Source organism: Homo sapiens, chromosome 1 (assembly GCF_000001405.40).
Source record: "Homo sapiens chromosome 1, GRCh38.p14 Primary Assembly".
In the NCBI taxonomy this organism is placed as follows: Eukaryota; Metazoa; Chordata; class Mammalia; order Primates; family Hominidae; genus Homo; species Homo sapiens.
The window spans coordinates 20,684,434-20,704,991 of record NC_000001.11 but is presented as its reverse complement, the minus strand read 5'-3'; the positions used below and the strand labels follow the sequence as shown (position 1 = coordinate 20,704,991).

Genomic DNA, 20,558 nt, shown 5'->3' with positions numbered 1-20,558 from the left:
GTGGGCATTGAGCACCCAGTGCCTGGCACTGATTGCCCTCGATACATAGGGCTCACCCGAGGCCCTCGCCACTTTGCCTGGTCTGTGTGCAGATGAGCGGGGCAAGGACCACCTCCGGGCGGGCAAGCTGAACCTGGTGGACCTGGCGGGCAGCGAGCGGCAGTCCAAGACCGGGGCCACGGGCGAGCGGCTCAAGGAGGCCACCAAGATCAACCTGTCGCTCTCGGCACTGGGCAATGTCATCTCGGCGCTGGTGGACGGGCGCTGTAAGCACGTCCCCTACCGTGACTCGAAGCTGACGCGGCTGCTGCAGGACTCACTGGGCGGCAACACCAAGACGCTCATGGTGGCCTGCCTGTCGCCTGCGGACAACAACTACGATGAGACACTCAGCACGCTGCGCTACGCCAACCGGGCCAAGAACATCAGGAACAAGCCGCGCATCAATGAGGACCCCAAGGATGCGCTGCTTCGCGAGTACCAGGAGGAGATCAAGAAGCTCAAGGCCATCCTGACACAGCAGATGAGCCCCAGCAGCCTGTCAGGTGGGACCACGTTGGGGTAGTGGCGGGAGGGCCAGGTCCCCAGGAGAAAGCTTCCTTCCCTCTGTCTTCTCGCCTCCAACTTCCCACCTAAAAGACAGTGGGAGCAGCATCCTCCCACCCCTCAGCCCCATGTGAGCGCAGGGCCCTGGTTGGAGACGGCCCAGATGGTATCTGCTTGTCAGTGTCCTGGGAGGAGGGCAGTCCGTCTGGCCTGTCCCATCTGACGCAGGCTGTTGCCCACTCCCCGCCTCTCATCTGCTCATCCATTATCCCCCCCACCCCCACCACACCCCCCACCACACCCCCGTCTGCTGCTGTCTGTGGCATTGTCGCAATGCGTGTTCGCTGCTCAGCAGCTGGCAACTCACTCCCCACGGCCACACCTGCTCCTCGCAGGCACCTTGTTACTGCAGCTTTTGCGCCCTGGCATTTGCCTGTCACCTGGCAGGTGGAAATCCACACTTGGAGCATTGGCCTGAAGGGGCTTTGGAACTGAAGGACTCTTTTTTTTTTTTTGAGACGGAGTCTCGCTCTGTCGCCCAGGCTGGAGGGCAGTGGCATGATCTCGGCTCATTGCAACCTCTGCCTCCCGGGTTCACGCCATTCTCCTGCCTCAGCCTTCTGAGTAGCTGTGAAGGACTCTTAAGATTTTCTTATCTCAGAAGCTCTTGGGGAAGGGAACACAAAATACTTGGGTCTGTCTGTCCATTCATCCCCCTCGCACCCACCTTCCTCTCCATCTATTCATTCTACACACACCCATTCACCTACCCGCTCATCCACCCATCTGTCCATCCTCCCACTTACCCATTCATCCACCCACCTTTTCTTCCACCTACCCACCTTCCCACCCACCCCATTACTTATCCATCTGCACACTCATCCATCCATCCACCCACTCACCCACCTATACATCTATCCATCCATCCATCCATCCATCCATCCATGCATCCATCCATCTATCCATCTATCCATCCTCCCATCTACCCATCTCTCCCTCCATTCCATCAATCCATTTCTTCCTTCCATCCATCCATCTACACAGCCACCCACCCACCCATCCATACTGACCCTTCCTTCCTTTCTTCCATCCATTCATCTGTCATCCATCCATGCATCCATTCATCCACTGATCCTTTCTTCCATCCATTTGTCCATGCATCCATCTATTCATCGATCTTCCTTTCATCCACTCATCTATTCATCCAGAGATCCTTTCTTCCTTTTTTCCTTCCATCCTTCCATCTCCCATCCATCCGTCCATCCATTCATCCATCCATCTCCATCCTTCCTTCTATCTACCCACCTACCCATCTTCCATTCATTTTATCTACCCATCCATTCACCCATTCTAATCACCCACCCCATCCACCCTACCATCCATATACCCACCCATTCATTCACTCCATCCTATCATCCATTCTTTTATCTATTTTTCCACTCACCTACCCATCTATCCACTGAAGGTTCCCTGAGCTGCTCCTCTGTGTGGACACGTGCTGGGTACTGGATACACAGAGATGAATCAGATGCAGGCTGTGCCTCGTGGGGTACCTAATCTCCTGAGGAAGAAGGACACTCCAATGGACCATCACATGCAACGAGACACACTCTAGGGCAGACAGCTGTACAGGGCAGAGAGGAGTGCATGGTCAGCCAGGTCTATCTGTGGGTGGGATAAGGTCAGTGAGGGAAAGCTTCCCGGAGGAGGCAGTAATTGAGCAGTCTTGGAAGAGGAGAAATTTCCCTGTTAGGATGAGAGTGTCCAGTGTGTGCAGAGATGCATAAAACTCTAAGGTGCATTTGGGGAACTACAAAGCCCTCTGCTGGCTGCCTTGGGCATAGGGGTGATGGGAGGTGGTCAGGCAGGACTGGGGTGGAGAGGGCCTTGAACACCATTGCAAGGCATTCCACCTCAGCCATCTGCCTTCCTCCTCTTTCCCTACTCTTCACCCCAACCCTACTCACCCCCAAGATTGGTAAGGGGGAAGACAAGAATGGTGAGGGTACCAGGAGGGAGTGGGGGAGGCTCGGCCCGCGGCCCCCGCACCCAGCAGCTAACACCTGTGCAGTCCTTCCAGTGGTGATGGAGGCAGCCCCCAGGATAGCTGTTAGCATCCCTTCTCCCTGGATTAGGAGCAAGGAGCCCAGCCAGCAGCATGACTGAGGTGGTGCTGGGTGGATAGCTGAGCACTGAGCAGTTATCACCAGCTCCCTCCCAGCTCCTCAGACAAGCAACTCAGCCACTGAGAACCTCAGTCTCTTCATCTGTAAAGGGGACATCATAGCGACACCTGCCTTGTGTGTGCTGTGAGGCAACTGGGAAAATTGCCTGAGGTCATGCATGTGTGGGCTCAGCACGAGGCCTGGCACGGTGGGCTCCAGAGACAATGCATGCGGCCTTCACTTTGGAGCTGGGCCTTCAGACCAGGCGTGCCTGACCCAAAGCTCCCTGTGTTTGCCCCTCCCTGGACTCACTTTAGACATTTCCCCCTTAGCCCTGGTTCTCCCTCTAGCATATCCCTCTTTTTCCCTTTCAACAAAACTTGAAACATCTGTCTACTTTTACTGGTCCCACTCTCTCTCCCTCTGCTCTCTCTTGCCCCTACCCAGGCAGGCCCTGTCCTGGCCCATTGACGTTGTCCTTGTCACCGATGGCCTCCTGTCGTGGAGCCCGGTGACTGTCCTGGGGCAGGCCTCACCTTGCCGTCTCAGCACCAGTTGGCTCAGCAGATCCCCTCCCTTCATGAGACCTTTGCTTCCTACATGCCCTCTGCCCTGGCTCCCTTCCTGCCTCCCCACCCACCTCTCCTCAGTTCCCAAGGGCGAGTCGTCCCTGCTCCCTGGCCTCTTAACCCTGGGCTGTCCCAGGCTGGTCCTCTGCTGTCCTCTCTCTGCACTCGCTGCTCAGGTGGCTTCGCCTGGGTCCCTGGTGTTATCACCACCTCTGCATTCCTGACTTCCCAAATGCACCCTGCAGCCTGGCCATGCAATTTGTGTTTGTGTCTTTTTTTTTGAGACGGAGTCTTGCTCTGCCGCCCAGGCTGGAGTGCAGTGGCGCGATCTCCGCTCACTGCAACCTCCACCTCCCGGGTTCAAGCGATTCTCCTGCCTCAGCCTCCCAAGTAGCTGGGACTACAGGCACGCACCACCATGCCCAGCTAATTTTTTGTATTTTTAGTAGAGATGGGGTTTTACCGTGTTAGCCAGGATGGTCTCAATCAGGACCTCGTGATTCGCCCGCCTCAGCCTCCCAAAGTGCTGAGATTACAGGCATGAGCCACCTCGCCTGGCCTCGTGTCTTAATTTATAAAGGTGACTGGGTGACAGCACAGAGATCCGCGCCACTGAAAGGAAAGCCCATCGTGACTCACAGTGCTCCTGGAAACCCGGGGTCAGGCACACACACATGGGGAAGCACCAGCATCGGTCTGGAGGGAGAAGGGAGTGGGGGCCCGGGCCACAGCCTTTACTGGGCTTCCTGTGGGAAACACACAGCAAGGCCTGGGAGGCAGGTTGGGACCAGCTGATCTGAATAATTCTGGTGGGCGTTGGGGTTGAGGGGCTGTTCCTGGTTGTCTCTGCCTGGCCCTGGGCCTGTTCAGGGCAGGGGGAATCTTGGCTTGGTGTGAGAGTTACATACAGCAGGTGGCTTGGGGTGTGGACTCGGGTTCGGCTGGTTTATATACCAAAGATGGACTCACTGACTCGTGGTTTACGGTTTCTAGGAATTCGCTCGCCCTGAAGGGCAGTCTAACCCTGCCCAGCAAGTCCCTCAAGATAATAGAACATAAAGCAATGTAGAAAAGAAGTAAAACATACTATACCATGTCCTCTGAATTCCGGACTTGAATCTGTAGCTGTGTAATAAGCATTTCAAACCCAACATATCCCACTGTCAACTCGATGGGCCCCCAAATCTGCTAGGCTGCAGCTCCCCCCAACAGCTGACAGAGGCAACTCAGGTGTTCAAACCAGACACTTGGGGTCGCCCCTGGCTTCTCACGTTCTCTCAAATCTACATCCAGTTGGTCAGCAGATCCTGCCATCTCCACCTTCAAAACTGGCTACAGCCTGGCCGGGCGCAGTGGTTCACGCCTGTAATCCTAGTACTTTGGGAGGCCGAGGTGGGCAGATCACTTGAGGTCAGGAGTTGGAGACCAGCCTGGCCAACATAGTGAAACCCCATCTCTACTAAAATAGAAAATATTAGCCAGGCGTAGTGGCGCACACCTGTAGTCGCAGCTACTCGGGAGGCTGAGGCAGGAGAATCACTTGAACCTGGGAGAGGGAGGTTGCAGTGAGCCGAGATCACACGATTGCATCTAGCCTAGGCGACAGAGCAAAGACCCCGTCTCAAAAAACAAAACAAAACAAAACAAAAACTGGCTACAGCCAGTTCACTGCTGCCCTCCAGACTGAGTTTCTGCACGCCCCCGCAACGGGTCTCCTCGTGCCTAACCCTGGTTCCCCTCAGTGCACTCTCCACGCAGCAGCCAGGGAGAGCCTGTTCAAATGCAAGGCCTGTGACTGCCCTGTGCACACCTGCCTCGTTCAACCCAGAGTCACAGCCAAAGCCCTCACCCGGCCCTCCACAGCTGTCACAATCTGGCATTATCCCTCTTGGACTTCTCCACCTGTCCTGCCCATCACTCCCTCCCCTCCAGCCACACTGGCCTCCTGGCTGGGCCAGGAACAGTGCAGTCTCACAACCGCCTCAGGGCCCTCGCACTCACCGCTCCCCCTGTCTAGCAAGCTCCCCCTGTCTAGCAAGCGCCTCCTGTCTAGCAAGCTCCTCCTGTGCCCGCCCTCTCCTCGCTGCTTCCTTCATGCCTTGACTAAAAGGCCTTCAATAAATAAGCTATTTATTTATTTATTTTTGAGACGGAGTCTTGCTCTTTCGCCCAGGCTGGAGTGCAGTGGCGCCATCTCAGCTCACTGCAACCTCCGCCCATCTGGTTCAAGCAATCCTCCTGCCTCAGCCTCCTGAGTAGCTGGGATTACAGGCTCCCGCCACCATGCCTAGCTAATTTTTGTATTTTTTTGGTAGAGACGGGGTTTTACTATGTTGGCTGTTGGCTGGGCTTTTCTTGAACTCCTGACCTCAAGTGATCCACCCGCCTAGGCCTCCCAAAGTGCTGGGGTTACAGACATGAGACACTGTGCCCAGCCTAACACACTATTTAAATGGCAACTTGGGCCGGGCAAGGCAGCTCACCCCTGTAATCCCAGCACTTTCGCAGGCCGAGATGAGAAGATTGCTTGATCCCAGGAGTTTGAGACCAGCCTGGACAACATGGCGAGACCCCATCTCTACAAAAAATAAAAGATTAGCTGGGTGTGGTGGTGTGTGTCTGTAGTCCCAGCTACTCAGGAGGCTCAGGTGGGAGGATCATTTGAGCCCAGGAATTTGAGGCCTCAGTGAGTTATAATCCCACCACTGCACTCCGGCTTGGGTGGCAGAGCAAGACCCTGTCTCGATAAATATATAAGTAAAAAAATTGCAACCCTTCTAACTGCTTCTGACTCCCAAGCACCCTCCCTACTTGCTTTTTCTTCTCAGTACACATCGCCTTGTAACGTGTTACCCATTTTGCTTATTTATTTTGATGGGAGGTGCTTAGGCAGGGCTGGAGTGGAGAGGGCCTCGAACACCACCACGAGGCATTTCACCTTGTCCATCTGCTTTTCTCCTCTTTTTCCCAGTGGAAAACTCAGCGTGGGTGTGGAGTTTTTGTCTTTGTTCAATGCCGCATCCTCAGAGTCTGGAACATCGAGGTGCTCCATAAATATTTGTTGGATGACTAACAGCCTTTTACATGGAGATGTGTTTGAAATAAGCTGAATACTTTAAAGTCTTCTTGAATGACCATGAGGTCGTCTTTTTATAGATTTCTGCTTAGTTCCTGCACACAATGTGCCCCTCATCCTGGCTGCTAATTTCTGTTTCTCCCCCAGCCCTGCTGTCCAGGCAGGTGCCCCCAGACCCTGTGCAGGTGGAGGAGAAGCTGTTGCCCCAACCTGTGATCCAGCATGACGTGGAGGCCGAGAAGCAGCTGATCCGGGAGGTGAGACCCAAGCGGGTGGGAACATGGAGAAGGGACAGGCAGGTGGGGCCCAGCGGGAAGGGCAGGGCTGCCGCTGGGGTCCAACGCGATATCACCGTACCTTCACCGTGGGTTTGGTCCTGAGAAAGCTGAAGCTCAAAGAGATGCCAGGACTTGCCCAAGGTCACACAGCAAAGAGTCTGAGCCAGGATTTGAACTTGAGTTCTTGACTCCAGACTGCATTCAATGCCGCCTTAGGGCCTGCGTGGTGAGAACAGAGGGGTGTGGAGGTGTCTCCAGGGGCGTGGTCTCCCCTCCGTTTTGAAGGAAGGGGTGGCTGTGCATTGATGGAAGCAGAAAAGGCATCCCTGGCTGTGGAAATGGCCTGTGCAGAGGCGAGGCAGTCAGGGTGGGGAGGAGTCTGTCCCCCAGCAGCCGACGACAAGTCTGAGAGCCAGGCAGCCCGTTTGACCAGCGGGTGAGTGTGGTGTTGGCCTCCTGGAAAAAGCTGTCACCTGGGGCACCTCTCATCTGAGTGCCTCCCAACACCCCTGGGAAGCAGCGGGTCAGACGATGCCTGATTTCCAGAGGCGGAGCTGATCCCCAGAGCGGGACTTCCACAGCCAGGCATGGCGGGGGCCCCCCCACTCCTGCCTTTGGCTCCATCCCTGACTCCACGCTCTGTTGGTTTCCAGAGATTCCCGCCTAAATGCTGCATCCTGAGACCTGAGCATGCCGTGGAGTTTGACATGTGGCAGTCCCTTTATTCATTTATTTATTTACTTACTTATTTTTGAGACAGCGTCTTGTTGTCACCCAGGCTGGAGTGCAGTGGTGCAATCTCAACTCACTGCACCTTCAAACTCCCTGGCTCAGGTGCTCCTCCCACCTCAGCTTCCCAAGTAGCTGGGACCACAGGTGCATGTCATAACGCCTGGCTAATTTTTAAATTTTTTTGTAGAGATAGGGTCTCTATGTTGCCTAGGCTGGTCTTGAACTCCTGGGCTCAAGAGATCCTCCCACCTCAACCTCCCAAAGTGTTGGGATTACAGGCGTGAGCCACTGTGCCGGGCCTGATAGTCCCTTTAGAACCCTGGCTTTTCCTGATGTGAAACCTGATGCCAGGCAGGACGAGCTATCCCGGGGCTAGGCCTGGATGTATCCGCTGCTGGACCCCTGCCACTCACCTACCACCTCCCACTGGGGTCCGTCCTCAGGCCCCAGAAGCCCCTGTTGGGCTGTGGGTACCTGGGGCCCAGCCTCTGGGGCAGACAGGAGAAGGACTGTGGAGATCTCTGTCCTGTGGGCCGGAGGCGTGGGAGAAATCCATCCAAGAGCCTCGGGCGCTGCACGTGACGGGCGGGGCCTGTGCTGTTTGGGGAGAGGCTCGATGGTGCCCCCAGTGAACGCCGTCCGCCCCTGCAGGCTCTGGAGCTCGGCAGCGGGCACTGCCTTTCTCCCTCCACTGCCGTTTCCAGCCCGGGTGTCAGGTCCCTTCCTGTAGCTCTGGGGAGGCTCCCGGGGAGGCTTTAGCAAGGAGGGGCCCTGGGGGATGGCTGAGCTCAGACAAGCCCGCAGAAACCAGAGAAGTCAGCCTGCTGTTGTTCGGAGTGGGCATGGAGTCACACAGCGGGGCTCGGAGGCTGGGAGTCACACACGGAGTCACAGCCCGGGGGGCTCTGGTCACAGATGGAGGGGTGGGGCGGGCTGTGCAGGACGGGGACGGAGGCTTCCTTCCCGGGAAGCCCGGTGGGGCCGGCGGCCCCCGCTGTCCAGTAAGTAGGGCACTGCCTCCCCCTGGTGGTCACCAGGGAGTAGCGACGCCGTTCCTGGCGGGTCCCTGGAGTGCCACGGATGGGGGTGCCTTCTGCCCTGGGGATGGGGTCGCCTGCCTCCTTCTCGTGGGGCGGCCTAGTGGACACTGCGTCAGAGTGGTGCTGGCTGACGCCACCGCCACCAGGATTCCAAGAAACCCTGAGGTTTCTTCTGTGAGCCATGCTTGGAGGAAGCGTTGAAGATGTCTGTGCCCCTCCCCCACCCCGCTATCCCTGCGTCCCTCCTGCCTGCCATTTGTTCTTTTTCTCAACTCTCATATTTATTGAGCACCTGCTATGCTCCTGGGACCGTGTTTCCCTTTGTATTCCAGAACCATTCAGGGAAAGGGAGGAGCCCCCTCTGTGTAGGGAAGAGGACACGGGCCAGGAGCCGGGTTCCGGTCCCCAGTCTGAACCAGGGGTTTGGACCAGAAGATTCCTAGGGTCCGTCCAGCCTTCTGCAAGTCCATCCTTATGGGCTCTGTGACCTTGGGCAGGTTGTTTGAGCTCTCTGAGCCTCTGTCTCATCTGCAGAACAGGCATCATAGCGGATTTCCTGCTGCTTCTTAGGGATGTAAGAGGATGAAATGAAGGGCCATCATCTCCTTGGCGGGCTGTGTATCATGTACCAAGCAAGAGCTGGGGGTCAGCTCCGCCATTCAGTCCTTAACAGGCATATTGTGAGCGCGTGCTGGGTGCTGGACACTCTAGCCGGAGGGGGATGTGGGGCCAAGGAAGGGTTTTTCATGCTTTAAATGTTGGAAGTAAGAGAGCATGTGTTGTAGACTGTCGGGAATTATCCAGCACAGAAGGAGAAGTCGAGGTTATAGGAAGGAGGGGGCGGATTGCAAGCACAAGGTCCTGGAGCTGGGTGGCGTGGGTTCAGAGGAGGTGGAGCTTCCGGGTAGATCTCCAGGTGGGTGGGAAGGTGAGGGAGTCCTGTACCTCCCTGTTCTCTGTGACTTACCAGGCAGGGGATGTGGGGGGAGAGGAGGGTTGGGAAGACAGAGCTAAAGGGTAGGACTGGGGCTGTGGGCTCAGCCATGTCGAAACCCGCCTGCCTGAGATTCAGGTCCCATGTTTAAAAGTGAGAATGGGGTTGGGTGCAGTGGCTCATGCCTGTAATCCCAGCACTTTGGGAGGCCGAGGCGGGCGGATCACTGGAGGTCAGGAGTTCAAGACCAAGCCTGGCCAACATGGCGAAACCCCGTCTCTACTACAAATACAAAAATTAGTCGGGAGTGATGGCACGTGCCTGTGATCCCAGCTACTTGGGCGACTGAGGCAGGAGAATCGGTTGAACCCAGGAGGTGGAGGTTGCAGTGAGCCGAGATGGCGCCACTGCACTCCAGCCTGGGCGACAGAGTGAGACTCTGACTCAAAAAAAAAATTAAAAATTAAAAAAAGAATGGAGATTGGTGGTGCTGTGCACATGCATGTGTGTGTGCGTGTGTGTGCGTGTGTGTATGCGTGTGCGTGCATGTGCATGTGTGCCTGAGGGTGCATGTGTGTCTGTGGGTGCATGTGTATGCATGTGTGCACATGTGTGCCTGCATGTGTGTGCCTGCATGTGTGTGTGCGCATATATGTGTGTTTCCATCCACGTATTGCTAAGGTGAGGCCTGGGTTTAACCAGGGTCAGGGCTGTGCTGGGAGAAAACAATAGAGGGGCTGGGTGAGGGAGTCAGGGATGTTTGCTGACTCGAGTCATGGGCCCTGGGATGCCAGCTGGTGAGGAGGGCAGTGAGAGCAGGGGGCAGTGGAGGAGAGGGCTGCAGGGCTCTGAGGAGCTGCCTGGTCATGGAACCTCCCTGGGCCTCAGTAACACTGTGGGCATTGCTTTGAGGTTCAAGTGTATCTAAAAATGTACTAAAGAATGCGTGGTTACATCTGAATTATTCTCCGTCCCCTTCTCTCCCTCCCTAGGAGCCTAAATCAGTGCTGTCCATGCCAGTTTCTATTTGCCAAAGGGATCTGGAGAGGTGGGAGTATGACATGGTGCTTGCCCACGCCATCCCTGTCCTTGTCCCCTCTCTCTGGCTTACTACAGTGGCAGGCACCTCTGTCAGCAGTGGCTCCAGGAGACAAAGGATCCCAGACTATCTTTAATTCATAAATGCCTTGCCCTTCTCTTGAGCCATGTGTGTCAGAGGCCTGAATATGTTGCATGCCCATTAACCTGCAGTTCTGCTCTGCCATTTACTGGCTCCGCAGGTGTTTCTTGAATCCCTCCTCTGGCAGGATCTGAGGTTACAAGACAGGATGGTCCTTCCAGCCTGGCCAAGATGGTGAAACCCTGTTTCTACCAAAAATATAAAAAATTAGCTGGGTGTGGTGGTGTGCACCTGTAGTCCCAGCTACTCAGGAGGCTGAGGCAGGAGAATCGCTTGAACCTGGGAGGTGGAGGTTACAGTGAGCCGAGATCATGCCACTGCACTCTAGCCTGGGGAACAGAGCGAGACTCTGTCTGAAAAAAAAAAAAGGACAGGATGGTCCTTGCTCTTTGGAGGGTGCCTTCTGATAGGGGAGACCAAGGAGACCAACAATAAACTGTAATCAAATAAGTAGAGACTATCATGAAGGAAGCAATGGTTCAGAAAGAAAAAGCAGCTCCTGAGATTACTAGGAAGCTGGAGAGACAGAAGAGACCCAAGGAAGGAAAAGAAGCAACTGGCGGCCCTTGCCCTGGTGTCAGAAGACAGCAGCTGTAGAGGGCTGTGAGGAAGGAGGGTGCTGCTGAGAGAGCTCACACACCATTCACACCCATTCACACCCATTCACACCCTTCCCTGGGCAAGTGTGTCCTGCCCTTGGCTGTCTCCCAGGAGTCCTCATCCTGGAGTAGTGAAATGGTTGAAAACCCCCAAAAGAAGCAAAAGCCAAAGCCCCAGGGGTCTCCTCAGGAGAATAAAATGGGAGACTCGTCTCTCCAAACCCAAGAAGAAGAAATCTTTCCCAAGGAGGAGCAGGCTAGTGGTGATCCTGGGGAGACAGCTGGCAGCATGTCTTCCCAAGGTGGAGGCTGGGTGCGGTGGCTCACTCCTGTAATCCCAGCGCTTTGGGAGGCTGAGGTGGTGGATTGCTTGAGGTCAGGAGTTAGAGACCAGCCTGGGCAACATGGCGAGACCCCCATCTTTACCAAAAATACAAAAAATTAGCCGAGTGTGGTGGTGGGTGCCTGTGGTCCCAGCTTCTCGGGAGGCTGAGGTGGGAGAATTGCTTGAGCCGGGGTTGGGGTTCGGGTTCACTGGAACTTGAGGTGGCAATGAGCTGAGACTGCGTCACTGCACTCCAGCCTGGGTGACAGAGTGACACCTTGTCTAAAAAAAAAAAAAAAAAGATGAGGACGTAATCATCCAAGGAGGAAACAGTTAGTGACCCTGAGGGAGAGGCAATAGGAGCATTGCCAAGAAAAAGAGGAGATTCTCTTCCAAGGAGAAACCATCAGCAATGGGCCTGGAGAGGCCACTGGTAGCAAGATCAGCTCCAAGAAGAAGAAAAAGACCCACAAACAGGCCAGGCGTGATGGCTCATGCCTGTAATCCCAGAACTTTGGGAGGCCAAGGAGGGTGGATCACGAGGTCAGGAGTTTGAGACCAGCCTGGCCAACATAGTGAAACCCCGTCTCTACTAAAAATACAAAAATTAGCCAGGCGTGGTGGCATGCGCCTGTAGTCCCAGCTACTCAGGAGGCTGAGGCAGGAGAATTGCTGCAACCTGGGAGGTGGAGGTTGCAGTGAGCTGAGATCACACCACTGCACTACAGCTTGGGTGACAGAGTGAGACTTTGTCTCAAAAAAAAAAAAAAAGAAAGAGTCCCACAAACCATCCCAGGAAGATCAGAATGAACATTTCCTGGGGGAGAAGCATGCCCCCAAGGTGGCATTTTCCAACCCTACACCCCAGTAAAAACAAATTCATGAGCACACACACAGAAAATAAATAGCATAATAGAAGCTCAGGAAGTGTGTTAAGAAGAAATAGAAGCCGGGCACAGTGGCTCACGCCTCTAATCCCATCACTTTGCAAGACCGACAAGGCGAAACCCCATCTCTGCCAAAAATACGAAAATTAGCCAGGCATGGTGGCATGCACATGTAATAGGCTACTTGGGAGGCAGAGGCAGGAGAATCAGGAGAATCACTTGAACCTGGGAAGTGGAGGTTGCAGTGAGCTGAAATTGAGCCACTGCACTCCAGCCCAGGTGACAGAGCGATACTCTGTCTCCAGAGGAAAAAAAAAAAGCAATAGAGGAAGGGACAGGGAGCAGTGCAGGAGGCCTTCTGCTTCTGAGAGTATGGTCAGGGAAGGCCTCTCTGAGGGATGTTACTAAGCTGAGGCCTGGGAAGGTGCTTGCCAGGGAGCAGGGCAAAGGCCTTGGGGCAGGGAGGAAGTGGGTGTGTCTAGGAGTCCCCAAATGTGCATCATAGCAGTTGAGGGGGAGGCAGGGCCAAATCACTTGGGTCTCAGGTCAAGTTGAGGAGCTTAGATTTCATCCATGAACATGGGATACCATTAGCAGATCCTAAGCAGGGGAGACACCTGGGTGGGCACTATGGCTGTGTCAGAGAGAGGTTGGGGCCAGAGTGAGAACAGAGGTGAGAACCAGGTGGCTGTTTGGACGAGAGCTGGCAGTGATAGCAAAGATGGAGAGAAGTGGGTGAATAAAAACATATTTTGTCATTGATGGGTTGAGGACCATTAGGCAGAAAGGTATTTGCCAACATGGAAAGGTGTTCATGATATATTGCTGTGTGGATAAAATAGATTGCAAACAAATGCATATATTATTCGTCTGTTAAAAAATGCACTGAGCAGGCTGGGCATGGTGGCTCATGCCTGTAATCCCAGCACTTTGGGAGGCTGAGGCTGGTGGATCACCTGAGGTCAGGAGTTCGAGACCAGCCTAGCCAACATGGTGAAACTCCGTCTCTACTAAAAAAAAAAAAAAAAAAAAAAAATAGCCAGACGTGGTGGTGGACAACTGAACTGTAATCCCAGCTACTTGGGAGGCTGAGGCAGGAGAATCGCTTGAACCTGGGAGTTGGAGGTTGCAGTGAGCCAAGATCATGCCATTGCACTCCAACCTGGGCAACAACAGTGAAACTCCATCTCAAAAAAAAAAAAGAAGCACTGAGAGGCTGGGTGTGGTGGCTTATGCCTGTAATCCCAACACTCTGGGAGGCTGGGGTGGGAGGATCACTTGAGGCCAGGAGTTTAAGACCAAGCTGGGCAACACAGTGAGACCCCTACTCTATAAATTTTTTATTTATTTCTGTTTTATTTTTATTTTTGAGACGGAGTATCACTCTGTCACCCAGGCTGGAGTGCAGTGGTGTGATCTCGGCTCACTGCAACCTCCACTTCCCAGGTTCAAGTGGTCTCATGCCTCAGCCTCCCCAGTAACAGATTACAGGCAAGCCACCACGCTTGGCTAATTTTTGCATTTTTAGTAGAGGCGGGGTTTCGCCATGTTGGCCAGGCTGGTCTTGAACTCCTGGCCTCAAGCGATCTGCCTCAGCTTCCCAAAGTGCTGGGGTTACAGGCATGAGCCACCACGCCCGGCCTACAAAATTTTTTTAAAAAATTAGCTGATGGTGGCCGGGCGTGGTGTCTCACGCCTGTAATCCCAGCACTTTGGGAGGCCAAGGCGGGTGGATCACGAGGTCAGGAGATCGAAACCATCCTGGCTAACACAGTGAAACCCCGTCTCTACTAAAAATACAAAAAAATTAGCTGAGCGTGGTGGCGGATGCTTGTAGTCCCAGCTACTTGGGAGGCTGAGGCAGGAGAATGGTGTGAACCTGGGAGGCAGAGCTTGCAGTGAGCCGAGATGGCGCCACTGCACTCCAGCCTGGGCGACAGAGCGAGACTCCGTCTCAAAAAAAAAAAAAATTTTTTTTTGCTGATGGTGGCATGCCCATAGTCCCAGCTATTTGGGAGGCTGAGGCAGGAGGATCACTTGAGCCTGGGAGTTCGAGGCTGGAATGAGCCATGATTATGCCATTGCACTCCAGCCTGGGGGACAGAGTGAGACCCTGTCTCAAAAACAAAACAAAACAAAAAAGCATTGAGAACAGTTTGGAAAGGTCTTCACCGGCAAGTAATTATCACAGTGTTGTACCATTGGATTCTCTTGGCTTACTTATAGGTTCTGTATTGTTTGAATAACCAAAAAGGAATACTGAAAGCTGGGTTTCAAAATGATGATAAAATGCTGCCTGCCCTCTGGTCCCTCCCACCCCCCCAGGAGTATGAAGAGCGCCTGGCCCGGCTGAAAGCCGACTATAAGGCCGAGCAGGAGTCTCGGGCCAGGCTGGAGGAAGACATCACTGCCATGCGCAACTCATATGACGTCAGGCTGTCCACGCTGGAGGAGAACCTGCGGAAGGAGACAGGTGGGCACCCCTTGCCCCCCGAGGCTGTCTCCAGGGAAGGTGGCCTCCTTTCCGCCTCACTGCAGTAACTGCATCACAGAGCATTTTCTACACCCGAGGATCAGGTCTGTTTTATCCTCACAATGGTCCAGTAAGGTAGGTACCACAATTATGCTCGCTATATAGATGAGGAAACTGAGGCACAGAGAGGGTAGGTAACTTGCCCATGGTCACACAGCTGGTAAAGGAGAGCCAGGATTTGAACCCAAGCAGTCTGGCCCCAGAGCCAGTGTTCTCACCCACAGCACTGCACTGGGATGGCTTAGCCATGGACTGGGCCCCAGCTCAAGGCTGACTGTGAGCTGTGAAGTGCCACCCTTTCTTTAGAGGCCAGTCCCTGCCCCGAATTGCTGTGTTTTCCGGTCTCCTCTTACTTTTGAGCCTCTCTGTTAGCAAAGCAAACACATTCCATAATAAGGATTTAATCCTTAGCCACAGCTGTTTACCTATCTGGAGGTTTTTGTGTTCTTTTTTTTTAAAAAAAAATTTCTTTGTTTTGAGATGGAGTCTTGCTCCATCGCCCAGGCTGGAGTGCAGTGGCATGACCTTGGCTTACTGCAACCTCCCCATCCCGGATTTAAGCAATTCTCGTGCCTCAGTCTCCTGAGTAGCTGGGATTACAGGTGCACACTACCACACCCGGCTAATTTTTGTGTTTTCAGTAGAGACGGGATTTCGTCATGTTGGCCAGGCTGGTCTCGAACTCCTGGGCTCAAGCGATCCACCTGCCTTGGCCTCCCAAAGTGCTGGGCTTACAGGCATGAGCCACTGCACTCAGCCTTTAGTTTTTGTCTTCTTTTTGCCACCCTAGGATATTCTGCCATACCAGTGTCAGTCAAACACGCATGCTGCCTGGAGGTCCAGACTTCCTAGCACTCATGAATAGTGTAGAATCCAGGCCTGGAATGATGATGATACTGATCGCACCGTCGGTACCGCTTGTTGGCACATTACCACGTGCCGGGTACTGTGTGGGTGCTTTACCTGCACCTCCTCACTGAGCCTCTGGTCTCCCCAGTCCAGCGAGGTAGGACTCCCTGAATCCTCCCATAACTGTGTGGAAACCAAGGCTGAGAGAGATCCAGGCCATTTAGCTAGGGAGTGGGTGCCATATTTCAGCAAAGGGAAAAATCAAGACCCTCTTACAGGAGTCTGGGACATAACGATAAAGAAATGGGTGGGAGGTATGAGAGGCGCCGGGAGCCCCCTGAACTGGAGCACTAAGGGGCCCATGTGAATGCAGCCCTGTCTCCGCTGCAAGGGAGACGCGCTCCTGGAGGAGACCCAGGGGAAGGGGAGGGAGCAGATTCTAGCATTTTATGCCCTTTGGAGTGTTCCCTCCAGTCCAGATTGAATATGAGGCCTCCAGCAGATCTTCGTCTGGCTTCTGGAGCTCTGACATTCATCCACAGCATTCATTTAGCTCCCGTGGATCTAGCATATCCAGTGGACAAGAGCCCTGGGCTGGCCACTCCAGTGAGGGCTCCGAGGGCACCCGGGCATGAAATCTGCTGAGCTCTCAGCCTTGGAAGGCAACAAGGCCCCAGGAAGCCTGCCAGTGTGCGAAGAGTGGTCCCAAGGCTGGGTGTGACTTAAGAGCCCAGCACTCAGTGGCTGTGGAGGTCAGAAAATGGAGGAATCCCAGCGTTGGTCAGGGAAGGCTTCCTGGAAGAGGTGGAAGGTGGTAGGGTTTGGGTTCTGATAAAAGCAGAGATGGGAAGGCAGGCAGGCTGTAGCCAGCCTCTGGAGGGTCTGGGAGGCTCTGACTCTTAAGCTGGTCTTTTAGAAACAGTGGGCTTGGGCCAGGCGCGGTGGCTCATGCCTGTAATCCCAGCACTTTGGGAGGCCGAGTGGGGGCGGATCACGAGGTCAGGAGATCGAGACCATCCTGGCTAACATGGTGAAACCCTGTCTCTACTAAAAATACAAAAAAAATTAGCCAGGCATGGTGGCGGGTGCCTGTACTCCCAGCTACTCGGGAGGCCGAGGCAGGAGAATGGCATGAACCTGGGAGGCAGAGCTTTCAGTGAGCTGAGATCGCACCACTGCACTCCAGCCCGGGCGACAGAGCAAGACTCTGTCTCAAAAAAAAACAAAAAAAAAACAAACAAAAAAAACAACACACTGGGCTTGGAGCCACCTTCTAGGGAAGGGTCTCTCATTCTGACCCTTTAAAAACCTGAAGGAAGTTCTCCATTTTGCAGAGGCTGTCCTGCAGGTGGGAGTCCTCTACAAGGCTGAGGTCATGTCCAGGGCTGAGTTTGCCAGCAGCGCTGAGTACCCGCCTGCTTTTCAGTATGAGACAGTGGTGAAACCCAAGGTCTTCTCCACGACTGACACTCTGCCCAGTGACGATGTCTCCAAGACTCAGGTTTCCTCCAGGTTTGCGGAGCTGCCCAAGGTGGAACCCTCCAAATCTGAGATTTCTCTGGGCTCCAGTGAGTCATCCTCGCTCGAAGAAACCTCTGTGTCCGAGGCTTTCCCTGGGCCTGAGGAGCCCTCCAACGTGGAGGTCTCCATGCCCACTGAGGAGTCCAGGAGCAGATACTTCCTGGATGAGTGCCTCGGGCAGGAGGCCGCTGGGCACCTGCTGGGGGAACAGAACTACCTCCCGCAAGAGGAGCCGCAGGAGGTGCCCCTGCAGGGGTTACTAGGCCTGCAGGACCCGTTTGCCGAGGTGGAAGCCAAGCTGGCCAGACTCTCCTCCACCGTGGCCAGGACAGATGCACCCCAGGCAGACGTCCCCAAGGTCCCTGTGCAGGTAGCTGATGTCACGCATGGTGCCATGTGAACACTGAGCAGGCAGAGCTTGCCCAGGGCCCGGAGCTCACTGTGCACACACTGTTCACACACATGGCCTCCGACACTCAGGCCGTGGCTCCACTGTGTCTGCTGCGGCTCTGGCACTGGTGGCTGGCTCAGGGGCACTGGTGTCCAGGGGTTAGGGAAGGAGAAGCTCTGTCTCATGCTCTGTAATTCAATAAGAAAGTTGGGGTCGCGATGCAAGGTTATGCCAGGTGGGCTCCCGTTCTGCAGATGGAGGGACAGCTGTACAGGGCGTTTGCCCAGTTGCCATGGTTACAGTGAGTGTCCAGGCCTGACGGAGCCCTGGGCGACGCTCACTGGCTCGTGAGCTCTGTAGTGAGCTGGGTGGGGGGTCTGTGGGAATCCAGCCACCTTTCAGTGACCACGAGGCTTCTGGGATACTGCTCTTCCTCCATCTGGCCCCCTGACCAACATCTTCTCCCTTTTCAACAACCCTCTTGTTTTTAAAACAATGTTCCTCTTGGCCAGGCACATTGGCTCACGCCTGTAATCCCAGAACTTTGGGAGACCGAGGTGGGTGGATCACCTGAGGCCAGGAGTTCAAGACCGGCCTGGCCAACATGGTGAAGTGAAACCCCATTTCTACCTAAAATATAAAAATTAGCCAGGTGTGGTGGCGTGCACCTGTAATCCCAGCTACTCAGGAGGCTGAGGCAGGAGGATCACTTGAACCCGGGAGACGGAGGTTGCAGTGAGCCAAGATCGCACCACTGTGCTCCAGCCTGGGCGACAGAGCGAGACTCCATCTCAAAGAAAAAAAAAGTCCTATTTTCTCCTCTCTTTGTTCTCTGCTTTCCTTTCCTCTGTGTGTGTGTGTGTGTATTTTGTGTGTGTGTGTCTGTGTGTGTGTATTTAGAGAGAGAGATCCCAGGTCTACCACTTCCTTGGTTGTGTGACCTTTCTGGGCTGGGTTTCCTCATCTGTAAAATGAGGTTGCTTCAGAGGAGTGGATGCAGGCAACGCTCCTGGCACACAGCAGGTGCCCACCACACGCCTGTCTTCCGTTTCCTCTCTTCCCTGTTCTCTCCCTCATCTCTTCCCTCCTTTGTGCTCCTTCTCTCGGGAGTGACAGGCAGGGGAGGTTGGGGGGTGGTGGGAGGCCTTGGGGAGTTGAAGTGAGGCCAGGGGTGAGGGAGTAAAGGATGGTTCTGGCCCAAATCAGCCTTCTTTCTCCTCCATCCCCTCTTTCCTCCCAGGTCCCTGCGCCGACAGACCTGCTGGAGCCCAGTGATGCCAGGCCCGAAGCCGAGGCGGCTGATGACTTCCCGCCCAGGCCTGTGAGTACCTCCCCGGGCCTCCATGTGGGGGACGGGGTTCTCTTCAACTTCCTGGGAAACTCCAGCTTGTCTTCTCCCTCCCTGAGCTTCAGTTTCCTCATCCATGAGCTGAGAACAACAACTCCAGCCTTCCCCGGGCTTGTGGCCCGTGGCCAGGCAGTGTGCAGTGGGAGGAACCATCATCTTCTTCTTATGGAGTGAAAGTGGCCTGTTGTTCTAGATGGTGGCTTTCAAACCTTCCTTAGCCTTGTCGCCCTTTGTGTAAAGGAATTGAGGCCCAGTGTGTGCAAAGGACGAGGGCTGCAGGTCAGGGCTGGTGGCCCCTATGACACCATCGGGGAACCCAATTTGAACACCCCAGGGGAGCAAAAGGAGAGGAAGCTTTAAATCTCCCTACATTTATAGAGGAAGAAGACAGTTTGGACTCAAGTGTGGGCTGGGCACCGGGCCTGCAGCAGGCTCTCAGCAGGGCGTAGATGGAGCAGCCGGGGCAGCCCTGGCTAGGAAGTGACTCTGGGGTGGGACCCAGGCGTGAAGGAGGGACGGGGGGAAGCAGCAAGCAGAGGGGATAGCAAGTGCCAAGGTCCTATGGCTGGAAAGACCTTGACTTTCTTAGCAATGGAAAAGGAGGCCACGGTGGCGGGGGAGGCCGTGGAGGCAGGGAGCCGGCAGGGAGGAAAGTGGACTTTCCTGCGAACGTGACGGGAAGTCACATGGGGCTCATCGGGAACGGGATGTGATCGGTTTCTATTTTAAGATGGCCCTGGCTGCCTGTGGAGACTGGATTGTGGGAGGTGAGAGAGGAAGCTGGGAGCCTTCCTCCTAGCGTGGGGGTGTCAGTGGGAATAGCGGCAGTAAGAACTCAACAGGGCGTGTTTTTGTGTCACTGGTGTCCCTGAGCTGGAGGTGATCTGTCGGGGCTGCAGCAGGCGGAATGGCCCCGTCTGGGATTGAGCCACCTGGGAGCTGTCGGCGGGGGTTGGGGCGGCCTTCCCACCTCCACCTGGGTTTCTCTTCACACTCAGGAGGTAGATCTGGCCTCGGAAGTGGCCTTAGAGGTGGTGCGGACAGCAGAGCCTGGCGTGTGGTTGGAGGCTCAGGCCCCGGTGGCCCTGGTGGCTCAGCCTGAGCCCCTGCCGGCCACAGCTGGTGTGAAGAGGGAGAGCGTGGGCATGGAGGTGGCAGTGCTGACTGATGACCCGCTGCCCGTTGTGGACCAGCAGCAGGTGCTGGCCCGGTAAGCAGCAGAGCATGGGGCTGGCGGGACCCCACGGTGAGGTGGGAAGGGGCTGCCTTCCAGGATGGAGGCGGGGGTGCCATAGCTTCCTCCCAGCTCTCCCTTCTAACTTGGCAGGGCGGCCCTGATCCTCTCTCCAGGCGCAGTGGGGACTAGGCGGGCAGGGCTCTGCTCCAGACACAGGCTGCCACCAGCATCCCTTGTCAGGCCTGCTGGCCTTCAGGTTTCAGGAGTCCCAGGGCAGAGTGTCGCAGGCTTTTCTCCCATCCCAGCCAAGCCCCCAGCCCCCTGGCCTCCAGTGCCCTCCTGAATGTGAGACCCACTCACCCACAGGACAAGCCATCCCCAGGCACTCTCTGGGACCGCCGGGGGAGC

The 20,558-nt window shown here is 55.1% G+C and overlaps 1 protein-coding gene across 20 annotated transcripts in view, besides 6 other annotated features; it reads left to right on the top strand.

The window, feature by feature from the left end:
• Positions 1 to 20,558, top strand: part of KIF17 (kinesin family member 17) — a 56,378-nt gene that overhangs the window by 13,016 nt on the left and 22,804 nt on the right. For 17 of the 20 annotated variants that reach the window (XR_007062426.1, XM_047426155.1, XM_047426150.1 and 14 more), the window contains exons 5-10: positions 93 to 545; positions 6,504 to 6,613; positions 14,657 to 14,804; positions 17,048 to 17,604; positions 18,866 to 18,946; positions 19,972 to 20,183. Coding sequence is in view for 19 of the 20 variants with exons in the window: in XM_047426155.1 (XP_047282111.1) it covers positions 93 to 545; positions 6,504 to 6,613; positions 14,657 to 14,804; positions 17,048 to 17,604; positions 18,866 to 18,946; positions 19,972 to 20,183 (1,561 nt within the window). In the remaining variant the exon portion in view is untranslated. Of the gene's footprint in view, positions 1 to 92; positions 546 to 6,503; positions 6,614 to 14,656; positions 14,805 to 16,168; positions 16,466 to 17,047; positions 17,605 to 18,865; positions 18,947 to 19,971; positions 20,184 to 20,558 lie in introns of those variants that run through there. The other 3 variants (XM_047426159.1, XM_047426161.1, XM_047426160.1) reach the window with 3 other exon arrangements.
• Positions 7,980 to 8,029: a silencer, noted in NCBI's record as "silent region_368". NCBI's record gives its function as "represses an Ori minimal core promoter by ATAC-STARR-seq in GM12878 lymphoblastoid cells {active_cell/tissue: GM12878}" and the evidence as "EXISTENCE:reporter gene assay evidence [ECO:0000049][PMID:35858748]".
• Positions 15,303 to 15,525: a silencer, noted in NCBI's record as "fragment chr1:21015960-21016182 (GRCh37/hg19 assembly coordinates)". NCBI's record gives its function as "represses an EF-1alpha promoter that drives an FKBP-Casp9 reporter gene in an ReSE screen in K562 erythroleukemia cells {active_cell/tissue: K562}" and the evidence as "EXISTENCE:reporter gene assay evidence [ECO:0000049][PMID:32094911]".
• Positions 15,936 to 16,436: an enhancer, noted in NCBI's record as "H3K4me1 hESC enhancer chr1:21015049-21015549 (GRCh37/hg19 assembly coordinates)". NCBI's record gives its function as "activates a minimal SCP1, AML or CMV promoter by ChIP-STARR-seq in naive H9 embryonic stem cells {active_cell/tissue: H9 hESC(naive)}" and the evidence as "EXISTENCE:reporter gene assay evidence [ECO:0000049][PMID:30033119]".
• Positions 15,936 to 16,442: a biological region, named in NCBI's record as "H3K4me1 hESC enhancer GRCh37_chr1:21015049-21015549".
• Positions 16,266 to 16,442: a silencer, noted in NCBI's record as "fragment chr1:21015043-21015219 (GRCh37/hg19 assembly coordinates)". NCBI's record gives its function as "represses an EF-1alpha promoter that drives an FKBP-Casp9 reporter gene in an ReSE screen in both phorbol 12-myristate 13-acetate-treated (for megakaryocytic differentiation) and untreated K562 erythroleukemia cells {active_cell/tissue: K562 | K562(+PMA)}" and the evidence as "EXISTENCE:reporter gene assay evidence [ECO:0000049][PMID:32094911]".
• Positions 19,441 to 19,942: an enhancer, noted in NCBI's record as "H3K4me1 hESC enhancer chr1:21011543-21012044 (GRCh37/hg19 assembly coordinates)". NCBI's record gives its function as "activates a minimal SCP1, AML or CMV promoter by ChIP-STARR-seq in naive H9 embryonic stem cells {active_cell/tissue: H9 hESC(naive)}" and the evidence as "EXISTENCE:reporter gene assay evidence [ECO:0000049][PMID:30033119]".